The sequence below is a fragment of the Homo sapiens genome, chromosome 20 (genome assembly GCF_000001405.40).
Source record: "Homo sapiens chromosome 20, GRCh38.p14 Primary Assembly".
Taxonomy (NCBI): Eukaryota; Metazoa; Chordata; class Mammalia; order Primates; family Hominidae; genus Homo; species Homo sapiens.
The window spans coordinates 19,944,497-19,957,186 of record NC_000020.11 but is presented as its reverse complement, the minus strand read 5'-3'; the positions used below and the strand labels follow the sequence as shown (position 1 = coordinate 19,957,186).

Genomic DNA, 12,690 nt, shown 5'->3' with positions numbered 1-12,690 from the left:
GGCTCCCAGGCTCAGAAGGAGAGGAAGGTAGCAGAGGCCACCAAGGATCTCAGACCCAGGCTCATCCTCAGTGTCCAGGCTCAAGAGGTCAGACCCAGGCTTCTGGCCAGTGGCCCCTACTCGCTACCCAGATGCTCAGTTCTCTGCTGGATCCTTGTACCTCCCATGGTAACTGAGCAGATAAAGACAGAAAGACACATCGTGAAGGGCTCTGTTCCTGGGTTTACAGAATATTTCTGCATTGAAAACCAGTTACACATCAAGAGACATGCTCCTTACAAGCTAGGAAGAAATTTCTGGAACTAACTCCAAGTGTTTTTCTTTAAGCCGGCAGCAGTCCTGCCTGCTTCAACCTGCTTCCCGAGGTTCTGAGTCTTACCCCCGGAGGCTGGGCCTGCAGGACCTCTGCTGCCTCCTCCTCACTCAGACTCAGCTGCAGCCATATGGGGTGGGTGTGGAGGAGCCGGTCCAAGATGCTGAGCCTGTTGGAGAGGCTGTCATAGCCTGAGTCCCGGGCACAGGTCTTCACGTCCTCTTCCTCGGAATAGCCACCATCCTTGTGTCTTACCATGCTAGGAGAAAGAGAAGCGGCACGGTCAGCTGGCTGCAGTACCATTTCCCTAACAAGGAGACCGTCCCTACAAGTTCATAGGCCAGGCTTGCCACCGCACATACCCCATCTTGTGATCGCCCCCTTAATCATCTTCTCTTCCAGACTGAAAGCTTTCTGAGGGCAGACACAATGTTTTATTTTACCCTCTATCTCTAATATTAAAAAGAACACTTTGCACTGGGCAGACCTGACCTTCTATTCCTAACCCCATTTTCAAAAGTTCTAAGCATCCTAAATGCCATTTATTCAGGCTTTGTCTTCCGACATAAAACATTTCTTTTTTTCTTTTTCTTTTCTTTTTTTTTTTTTTTTTTTTGAGATGGAGTCTTATTCTGTTGCCCAGGCTGGAGTGCAGTGGCGCGATCTGGGCTCACTGCAACCTCCGTCTCCTGGGTTCAAGTGATTCTCCTGCCTCAGTCTCCTGAGTAGCTGGGATTATAGGCGCACACCACAATGCCCGGCTAAATTTTTGTATTTTTAATAGAGATAGGGTGTCGCCATGTTGGCCAGGCTGGTCTTGAACTCTTGACCTCAGGTGATCCGCCTACCTCGGCATTCCAAAGTGCTGGGATTACAGGCATAAGCCACCCTGCCTGGCCAATATAAAACATTTCTAACTTTGAGGACAGAACCCTAAATGCGAAATAGCATGGATGGTAACCGTGAGTTCCTAATGCTCAGTAGCATTTCTCATAAGCACAACCATGCCCCAGTCTAAAGGCAAATGCACTCACACAGATTTATTTTGTACCTGAATGATTGGATTTTATTTCTTCTCACAAATCTAAGCATTTTTATTACTGACATTATTTATAATAAAACCTCACAGAGGAGTGATGCTGTGCTATTCGTAAAATCATGTCGACATTACTCATAATAGCTAACAAGCGGAAACAACCCAAATGTCTGTCAGCTGATGAGTGGATGAACAAAATGTGGCCAAGTGTGGTGGCTCACGCCTATAATCCCAGCACTTTGGGAGGTTGAGGCAGGCAGATCACTTGAACCCAGGAGTTTGAAGCCAGCCCGTGGAACCTGACGAAATTCCATTTCTACTAAAAATGCAAAAATTAGCCAGGTGTGGTCATGCGCACCTGTAGTCCCAGCTACTCAGGAGGCTGAGGTGGGAGGATGGCTCTAGCCTGGGAGTTTAAGGCTGCAGTAAGCCATGATCCCACCACTGCACTCCAGCCTGGACAACAGGAGTGAGGCCCTGTCTCAAAAAAAGAAAAAAAAAAGAGTAATCTATTCTTACAATGGAATATTATTCAGCCATAAAAAGGAATGGGGCACTGACGCATGCTGCAACATGGATATACTTGGAAAGCATCTTGTTCAGTGACAGAAGCCAGACATAAGGCCACATACTGAATGACTCGATTTACATGAAATATCCAGAACAAGCAAATCTACAGAGACACAAAGTAGATCAGTGGGCTCCAGAGAATGGGGGAGAGAAAAGAGAATGGGGAGCGATTGCAAACAGGTACCAGGTTTCTTTCCAGGGTGATGGAAATGTTCTGGTATTAGAGAGTGGTGATAATTGCACAATGTGTGAAGGTACTAAAACCCGCGAATCATGCACATTAAAAGGGTGAATTTTATGGTATGTGAATTACGTCTTAATGACCAAACCATATTGACATCCTTTTGGTGCCAATACTGGTTCTGTCAGTGAGTGTTTAATTCCCATTTTACCAATGAGAAGACCGAGGCCTAAGAAGTTACTGAGCTGTCCTGAGTGATAACAGCCTTGAAACAGCAGAACTAGAAATTACACATGCTCTGGTATTTATCCAATGTTGTGGGTACCAAGTCAGGTCAGGGACACAGGGGTGAGGGGCACAGGGGTGAGGGACACAGGGGTGAGGGGCACAGGGCAGTTTGTATCCATGTAGCGGCTGTTGTGTGCCAAGCCCTTTACCTACATTCTCTCATTTACTCCTCTTGGCAGCCCTGGACCACAGGCACCATGATCCCGGTTTTACAGAGAGGACCAGGAGTCTTAGCTCAGGTCAGGATCTTGCTCAAGGTCAAGCCCCTGGTCAGAGAGAGGGGGCTGACATTTCCATCCAAGGCAGCTTCGCTCTGGGTTCTCTCACCCTTTACCAAACTCAGAACTGACACTTAACCTGGCTCTCAAGGAGCAGGTCATCAAGCCCTATCCTGGGGCAGCCAAGGGACACCAGACCTGACCATTCATGTCCAAACAAGCAGGTTTAGATTCGGGTACATATGGTCTTCAATCCTCTAAACCCAAAGGAACTCAACTGTGTGAACTAGATAATGTATTTAGCACTGAGAAGGATGGATAATGAAACTGAATGTATGATGAGTTATAAAAAGGAAATTAAAGGAAGGAAGTGTGATATTTCCACATGGACAACTCTACTCCTAAGAGGTGGGACTGAATTTAGAAGAAGCCAACCTATGCCGATCATTTTTGGGTGTGCAGACTCAATAATAATACCCAGTGTTGGCATGTGGACTGGCCAGAGACCCCCGTCCTAACTTCTCTCCATCACCTTCGTGACTTTCTGCAGGCCTAAGGAATCTCACTCATTCATTCAAGATTTATCTTTTTATTTCTTCTCAAATATGTGAAAGCTTTGCTCAACTTCTGCTACAAATTTCCAGGTAGGAGACTCTGTGCCAAAAAGAATAGTTTCTCCTTCTGCAAATGCCATTCCAGGGCCTGCAGGTATTGGGAAGTGAATATTTGCAGTTAAAAAAACATACTCTTCAAAGTGAAGCTGGTGTTAAAATTCCTTTCATAGAAGGTAAAAGAGCCAGCTTTAGACAAGTGATTCTCAACCCTGGCTGCTGATAAAAATCACCTAAAAAAGCCAGGCATGGTGGCTAAAGCCTGTAATCCCAGCACTTTGGGAGGCAGATCATCTGAGACCAGGAGTTCAAGATCAGCCTGGCCAACATGGTGAATCCCTGTCTCTACTAAAATACAAAAAGTAGCTAGGAGTGGTGGTGGGTGCCTGTAGTCCCAGCTACTCAGGAGGCTAGGGCGGGAGAATTGCTTGAACTTGGGGAGGCGGAGGTTGCAGTGAGTGGAGATCGTGCCACTGCACTCCAGGCTGGGCAACAGAGCAAGACCCTGTCTCAAAAAGAAAAGAAAAGAAAAGAAAAGCCAGGTGCAGTGGCTCACGCCTGTAATCCCAGCACACTTTGGGATGCTGAGGCGGTTGGATCACTGGAAGTCAGGAGTTCAAGACCAGCCTGGTCAACATGGTGAAACCCTGTCTCTGCTAAAAATACCATAATTAGCTGGGCATGGTGGCACACACCTGTAGTCCCAGCTACTCAGGAGGCTGAGGCAGCCTTGAACATGGGAGGTGGAGGTTGCAGTGAGCCGAGATCCTTCCACTGTACTGTAGCCTGGGCAACAGAGCAAGACTCCGTCTCCAAAAAAAGAAAAAAAAATTCCCCAGGGGATCCCAACGTGCAACCAAGTTTACAACCACTACTTTGGATCAGTATTTGTCAAACTTGAGAGCCTGCGTGAAAGTCACCTGGGGTTTGTTAAGCCACAGATTCCTGGTTTCAGACTCACAGCTTCTGCAGGTGTGGGGTGAGCCAGAGACATTGCATTTCTAACAAGCTCTCAGTGACCAATCTGAGGACAACACTGTAAGGAACATTTGCCTGAGATCCAAGTGTAAAACATGCATATTAACTCAGATCAATTAGGGGTTTGGTTTTGTTTTGCTAGGGGCTGCGGGCGCGGGATGGGTACCATGCCACTAAAAGAATTCTTGGCGACTAAATAAATATTTTATCACTGCCATCTCAGGTTGGCCATATTTTGCCAAGACCAAATTGGACAGTGTCTAACATGACAATCGTGATGCTCATGTGTGCTGAAAGTAAACACGTTGACATATCTTCCTTCCCTAGAAGGGCGCATCCTGTGACTCCTCTGTGGTTTCAAGGAGCTGAAAAGCCTTTGTTCTGACAAGTGACCTCAGCCTAAAAAGCAGGGCCCAGACAGGAAGATGGTGAATAAGATTCATGGGGCCTTATAAAACAGCAACCATAATTATCCCTTGCCTTTGCAAATGACTAAGCTGACACCTTGATTCAGCCAGCCACTTGAGGTTTATAGCATATTATTACAGGACAAATTGGCTTTTATCAGGAACAACCTTCAGGAAAAAACTAATGTGAGAACATTGAACATGTAGGGGATGCTACTGGTGCTCCACCTAGAGCCCCTCCTCTAGGGCAGGCACCCATGCCCCATCTGCTGCGAGTGTTGGCTGTGGAAAGCTCACAGCTGCCCCTCTTCTCCTGGAAATGCCCAGGAAGCTACATCCTCTCCCTGAGAGCAGACTCACTGCCAGTGACATACTGATATGTACTTTCTACATATGTGAGATGGAGAAGAGTGGCCTTCTAGCCTTGAGTTGAGACAACTCTGGGGGGCTATTCACGCTGCTGAGCTCCCTGTGGGACCAGGCAGAGCCCACGTCTTTGCCTTGCCTCCTCCCTTTCCCATCCTGGATCCCTCACTCCTTGGCAGGCTGCTTCTGAATCACTTGCACAAGAAGCCCCAAATCAGGCTCTCCTTCCAGGGAACTCAACCTATGACAGAACTTGATGAGATTCATAGAAACTAGCGATTTCTAAGAAAGGTGTCTGCATGCAAACAGGAGGGAAGGCAGTGAACAGAGGTTCATAAAAGGTAAAACACTGTGATACAATCCAGGAGATTCCAATAAAAACATGGTCATAGTGGAATGGCCACAGAGCCAAGCTCAGGGCAGGAAGCATGAGGTTCCTCTCCTAGCTCAGCTGGGCATGTGAGACCTTGCTCAGGTCCCTTTCTGAGCCTCGCCCTTTTGATCTGAAAATAGTAAATAACAATACCTTCACCACCAGGTAGTAATCAATGCAAGCAAAAATTGAGTGGATGCTAAAATCAGAAGGCAAAAGACTTAGGAAATAGGATAGTCATAGTCTTAAAATATCACCTCACAGATCACTTAATGACTTGTGAAAATGAAAAGGTACCCTGGCAATGGAGGAAACTGGTAGATGTCACCTTAACCAAGTGATCTGTGTTAACTCCTCCAAAAATGAGCTGCCCTGACATCAAGTGCCCCCAGTGTGAGGCTCTGAGAAGGTACCATGTCACCTAGGTGTCTTTCCTGCTCCCAAATATGACTCACCTGAATGTATACAGGAGAAAACAATCAGAAAAATCCAAATTTCAGTGACAGCAAAACCAATGGCCAAAACTTCAAAAATGTCAATGTTATGAATTTTAACAGGCTGTAGGATTAATACAGGTTCGAGGTGAATAAAGAGATGTGGTAACTACATGGAGTGCATAGCCTGGAACTCATATATGGCATCAGTATAAAAAGATCTATAAAGGACAATTTCACCTGTAATCCCAGCACTTTGGGAGGGCAAGGTGTATGGATCGCTTGACCTCAGGAGTTTGAGGCCAGCCCGGGCAACATGGCAAAACCCAGTCTCTACAAAATATACAGAAAAGAATTAGCCAGGCATGATGGAGCGTTCCTCTGGTCCCAGCTACTCAAGAGTCTGAGGCGGGAGGATTGCTTGAGCTTGGGAGGTGGAGGTTGCAGTGAGCTGAGATGGCACCACTGCACTTCAGCGGGGGTGACAGAGTTAGACTCTGTCCCAAAAAAAGAAAAAAAAAAAAAAAGGTTAGCCAGGCACAGTGGGGTGTGCCTACAGTTCTAGCCACAGCTGCTCAGGAGGCTAAGGCAGGAGAACTGTTTGAACCCGAGAAGTGGAGGTTGCAGTGAGCCAGACTGCACCATTGCACTCCAGCCTGGGTGACAGAGCAAGACCCTGTCTCAAAAATAAAATAAAATAAAATGGAGAATTTCCTTAAGTGTGATAATTTTATTATGCTTACAAAGGAAAAATGCTTTTATTCTTAGGACATGCATACTGAAAAATTTAAGGGCAAAGTATAAACATGTTTGAAAGTGTCAAAAGAAAGAAAGAAAGAAAGTGTCAAATGATGAGCTCCCCCTAAAAAGAAAAAAAATAGGGAGATAAAGAAAATGTAGCAAAATTTCAGCACTTAGTGAATTAACTGAACAGTGCTATCTTTGCAACTTTTCCATAATGTTTGAAATTTCTCAAAATAATAGGTTGGAGGAGAAGTAATAATATCTACCATCTCACTGAGTTTTTATAACTATAAAACTCATTTATTTGTGCAGCCATTCCCACTATGTCTAGGTGTCTAGGGCTGCTATCATGGGGAGATAAAACTTAGGTACAGATACAGTGAGACCCACATGTGAATACAATGGGCAAACCATAGAATGGCCCGCAAAGTATAAGGTGCCTCTAGGGGCAGAGAACAAACACTCACCCAAAAGTCACAGCCTCCACCCATTCCAATTACAACCAAACCTGGGCCTCATGGCTTTGAAGCAGATGGGTGGATATTCCATCCACTTTGGAAGGGCAGGGCTCTCCAGCACCTGTCCTGCTCTCGTGACAACCAGGTTAAGGTTCTTTGGAGTATGGGATGAGAGAAGCCTTTCCACTGGGCTGGATTTCCTTCCTTCCCATGGCCCAACATTAGTCGCCTGAGCAGGTGGGAGAGTAAGTGATTGCAGAAAGCTCTTTCTGAGTAGGACAACCAGGCAGACAAGGGTTAGTTTTACTAACATTGCCAGAATCAGATTCACCTCAGAGAAACCATCGACACAGAGCAGAACTTCCAAACGATGCATGCCTTTTCTTGTCCTAATTCAGAATTCCAGAAGACATTACAGTCTACCAGCGCAGCCCCTAATGACCAGTCCTAGTGACCAGGGTCTAGACAAAGCATGCTATGAAGCCTCCCTTGCACCTCCCCCTACATCACCCGCTCCCGCGAGCTGCATCCCCAACCATACATCTGAAATGTACACTTTGACCTTGCAAATGAGAGACAATAAGGCAAAAATACACAGAAATGTGATGCGAGGCCATTTCTGTGACAAAACTTACTGACTGAGTAAATAAAGTGAACAACTTTCTAGATATAAGAAACCTAGTTTGGCTGTTAAATAGCAAAAATAAAGTTCAAGGCAAAATGACAAATTCTTACTCTGTCAACCAAGGATGGTGCACATCCATTAGGCTGTGGGTGGCAGCAGGTGTGCTGTGCCCTGTGTGGCTCTGCCCTCAGTGGCAGGACATGAGGATAAACAAGTAAAACAAAAAGCCCCCTAAACCTCCTCTATGTGTGTAAAACCACACCTTCACTAAGCCGAGCAATTAGATTTTTATTTATTTATTTTGAGACGGAGTCTGGCTCTGTCACCCAGGCTGAAGTGCAATGGTGCAGTCTTGGCTCACTGCAACCTCTGCCTCCCAGGCTCAAGCGATTCTCCTGCCTCAGCTTCCTAAGTAGCTGGGATTACAGGCACACACCACCATGCCCAGCTAATGTTTGTATTTTTTTTAGTAGAGACGAGGTTTCACCACGTTGTCCAGGCTGGTCTGGAACTCCTGAACTCAGGCAATCCCCCGCCTTGGCCTCCCAAAGTGCTGGGATTACAGGCGTGAGCCACGGTGTACAGCCTAGATTTTTTTTTTTTTAAAGTAAAATTACGGCCTGGTGCAGTGGCCTGTACCTATAATCCCAGCATTTTCGGAGGCAGAAGGAGGTGGATTGCTTGAGCCTAGGAGGTTGAGGCTGCAGTGAGCTGTGATCATGCCACTACATTCGAGCCTGGGCAACAGAGTGAGACCTTGTCTCAATAAATAAATAAATAAAATTAAAATTAAAATCATTCAAGACAATCACTTTTGTCTGGGGCATACTTCCAAGTTGCCTTGGGGAGTGTTCCCGAGAAACTGGAGTTTTTAAATGGACAATTTAATATCATCTATGGTAAGATGTGCCTGATTTTTTTTAAGAACAAAAGTGATTTCAAACAAATATTTAAAATGTACTATGATTTTTCCACCAGCCTGGCCAACATGGTGAAACCCTGTCTTTACTAAAAGTACAAAAATTAACTGGGTGTGGTGGCGCGCTCCTGTAGTCCCAGCTACTCGGGAGGCTGAGGCATGAGAATGGCTTGAACCTGGGAGGCGGAGGTTGCAGTAAGCCGAGATCACGCCACTGCACTCCAGCCTGGGAGACAGATGGATACTGCGTCTCCAAAAAAATATGTATATGTATATATTTTTTTCCAGTCTATAGCAGACTGTTAGATCATAATTCAGCTAGGATGGGATTGGTTTAGTTAATTAACAATATCTGAAAACCCCTCATAGAATGAATGGCAAGTCCCCTATGGAGATAAATAAGGTGGTTGTGGCCCGTAAGTCAAATGATGCTTTCCTAGGGGAAGTTCCATAGTTCTCTGGCTCCCTTCCGTGTGTCTGTGCGAGCAGCTGTGTCTCAGCACTGTCAGTATCACATCTGCCTTGGAGCTGGAACCATCTGTGGTCTACCCTTGTGTTTTATCAAGGTACCCTGTTTGCTTCTACTTACATGAGTCATCTGGAGACACTGGGATGACTGGGTCAGCAGTTAGTTGGAGGAAGGATTATCACAGTTTCTCAAAAGCAGCTTGGCTTTCGGCTTGTATCTCAGTTCCCCAAACCCTGGCCCTAGACAGGACTTTCTCTCCCATGTCAGGCTCCACAAGGTATGGAGAACTCTCCTCTTGGAAGAGCAACACCTGCTTGCTTTGCCGGCTTTCCCAGGCCAATCCTGGTGGAATCTACAAGGACTGCCCCAGACCTGGGATTTGAAGGAGTGAGCGGCAGGCTCCGCCCATGTCTCTCCTTGCAAGTCTCACCTTTCTGGCCAGGCACTCCCTGAAAACAGTCTTTACGAAAAATCCTGGCTTTTCTTGAAGCCTGAGGGCTCGTTCCCTGAAGGTTTCCGGGAATCTCCTAGACTTTTATGAAAACAAAGTTTCTCATTGTTTACATGGTAAGTGTTTAATAAGTGGTTACAGAATGAAGACAATGGGCTAATTATCATGTGATAAGTTCTTATCAATAAACAAAAACAACAACAAAAGCAGAACTCAGGTTCCATATTACTTTTGACTCTGACTAAATTATGGTTTAAGATTCATTACCTTGTTTGTCTCCCAAACATAAAGAACTGTAGTTTTGCTACTAAGTGGAAAACTCAAAAACAAAATAAAGCTCTAATGGTGGAAAAGTGTAGGTTAATTTTGATATTTAAATTTTTAATTTTAAAAAATACTTTTTTAGAGATGGGGTCTTGCTGTGTTTCCCAGGCTGGTCTCAAACTCCTGGCCTTAAGTGATCCTCCTGCCTCAGCCTCAGCTTCCTGAGTAGCTGGGGCTACAGGCACAAGCCACCATGCCTAGCCCAATTTTGATATTTTGTAATATCTCAATGTTGTTAGAAACTGACAATGTTTCCCAAAAAGTGATGGATACATCAAGGTAATCCATGGAGGCATGGTTTTAATTTTAATGGCCATTACTTATTTTAATGGTTATATGTATTCAGTGTGTTTCCTAATTATGGTAAAGATACTGAATTTGCTTTTTTTTTTTTTTTTTAAGACAGTCTGACACCCAGGCTGGAGTGCAGTGGTACGATCTCGGCTCACTGCAACCTCCACCTCCTGGGTTCGAGCAATTCTCCCGCCTCAGCCTCCTGAGTAGCTGGGACTTTAGGCGTGCGCCACCACGTCCAGCTAATTTTTGTATTTTTAGTAGAGACAGAGTTTTGCTATGTTGGCCAGGCTGGTCTCGAACTCCTGACATCAGGTGATCCACCCACCTCGGCCTCCCAAAGTGCTGGGATTATAGGTGTGAGCCACCGCACCCAGCTGAATTTGCTTTTCCCTTTTTTTTTTTTTTTTTTTTGAGATAGAATCTTGCTCTGTCACCCAGGGCTGGAGTGCAGTGGTGACACAATCTCGGCTTACTGCAACCTCTGTCTCCCAGGTTCAGACAATTCTTGTGCCTCAACCTCCCGAGCAGCTAGGCAAGCGCCACCATGCCAGACTAATATGTGCATTTTTAGTAGAGACGGGGTTTCGCCATGTTGGCCATGCTGGTCTCGAACTCCTGGTCTCAATCAATCCTCCCACCTTGGCCTCTCAAAGTGGTGCTGGGATTCCAGGTGTGAACCCCGGCGCCGGCCTGGGAAGATCATCCTGTAGATACATCTACATGCTGTTGCTCAGCTTCCTCATTACTGAGTTCAAGCTACTTGGAATGTCTCCTGCCATATCTGGCTCCTACCTACCTACCTGTCAAACTGGGTTCAAATCCTCATCCCTTATCTCTTTCAGCTGCAAGTAATCTGTGGCCCATCACATTCCTTCCCTACTGTCCCCACACCTCCAGGGCCCCTACCCCATTCCACTCTGGTCAGACTTCTCTCCCTTACTAGCCTGGCCTCATCCCCAGCCCATATTCAGGCCTAGCCCTGTGCAGGAATTAATAAAAGGTCTGCTTTAGGCATGACCAGGGGCCTGAGGAGGAGGTGATCTGCAGACAGCAAGGTTTACGGAAGAGGAGGAGCTTAGCGGGCAGGGAGAAATATTCTTAGGGGCACTGGGCAGTTTCTTTCTGAGGCCCCCTAACAAATAGAATCCGCTGCTCAGCTCCAGCCTCAGGAGACAAAGCGTTCTTGTTTCTGTGCTTATCAGGAAATGGGCGGCAAAAATCACCACAGCTACCAAGAGCCACCTGGCCTTTGGCCATCTCTGGGGCAAGAAAAGGAGGCAGCTCCAATCCTTCCAGAAAAACAAATCCTTCCTTATTGCTCATTAATTTCTCCCATGGACACCCCTTCTAAGCTCAAGTCAACTAGCAAGGAGTGGGCTTTGAGTGGCTTTGGTTGTAAAAGTCAATGATGTTCCTGCAGTCTACATAGTGAAAAAAAAAATGATAAGAAAGATAAAAAGAAAAGTCAGTGATGAGCTTTAGTGTAGAATTACAATAATTCTATGCCCACCAATACCAGACATTGGAGACCAGTGCTCCATCCAAGGTCTCCAAATACAGAATGCTTTATTCCAGCACGGAGAATGAGATTTAGGATTCCAACAAAAGTGGCCTGCTGAGTGCAGGAGAAAGTAGAGGGTAGACAGTCCTGGCAGGAAAGTGCTCTTGGATAAAGGCAGGTGCAGTGCATGAGGTCTGAAGAAACCCCAGTGGGAACCCCACACACAGCTTCAGGGGCTTTCACATTCAGTCATCAATTTATCCGGAATCAAAGCCACCCACCTCCTGCCCATGTGAGTGCACTGAAATCACAATGCTATTTTTGGTAAGGCATGTCATAGTTTCAATGGAATCAACCCTGATTCTAGTCTCCCTCAGCCTCCTAATCTTCAGCGGTTAGGTGGAAAGAGGACTCCAAGTCAGACTTGAATCAGAGCCTCAGCACTGCCCCTTCATCACTGTGAGGCCTGCACCCATTACCATGCACTGTTTAATCTCAGTTTCCCTGTGTCTAAAAATGGATTCTTGCTGAAAAAAGGAATCTGTTAGCAAAACAAATAAACAGAACCTGAAAAGAACTTCTGATTCTAAGTGCCTGGACTGTCTTTGAAACTATGAGTAATGGTTCCGCTCCATGGGAGTTTTCAGGATGACTTCTTACCGTCTTCTAATTTTTGGATAGTCACAAAAAGAAAGCAAGGCAATGTGTTTCCATTCTAGGACTGACAAATCCTGTGGTATTAACACAACTCTGGAGCTTGTTTTGGCAGCATTTCATGTGACCTGGGAGAAAGCAAAACCCCAAAGCTTCTACAGGCCAGCTTCCAGCAGGTCCTGGAAGCAGGAGAGTTCTCCATCTACCATTAGTGTCTAGGCTCAACCTGGACTCTGGTATTGCCATCCTCAACTTTCAGATGGAAAAAGAAAAAAAAAAGCCACTTCTCTTGATATTTTTGTGTTAAAATTTCCATGTATATCATGCTTCTCCAGGAGCTTCCCTTCAGCTGCATGCCAGACTAAAATCTTTTTCCAGGCTGTTGTCTTAACCAGCTGCAATGGCAAGAAAGATACACCCTGGGATGTGGCATTGCCGGAGGGCCCAGGCTTCTAGCTACAAGAGGCCAATGC

General features: G+C 45.8%; 1 protein-coding gene across 20 annotated transcripts in view; it reads right to left on the bottom strand.

The window, feature by feature from the left end:
• Positions 1–12,690, bottom strand: part of RIN2 (Ras and Rab interactor 2) — a 244,858-nt gene that overhangs the window by 45,270 nt on the left and 186,898 nt on the right. For all 20 annotated transcript variants that reach the window (XM_047440212.1, XM_047440213.1, XM_017027888.2 and 17 more), the window contains one exon: positions 380–572. In XM_047440212.1, the coding sequence (XP_047296168.1) occupies positions 380–572 (193 nt within the window). The remainder of the gene's footprint in view (positions 1–379; positions 573–12,690) is intronic.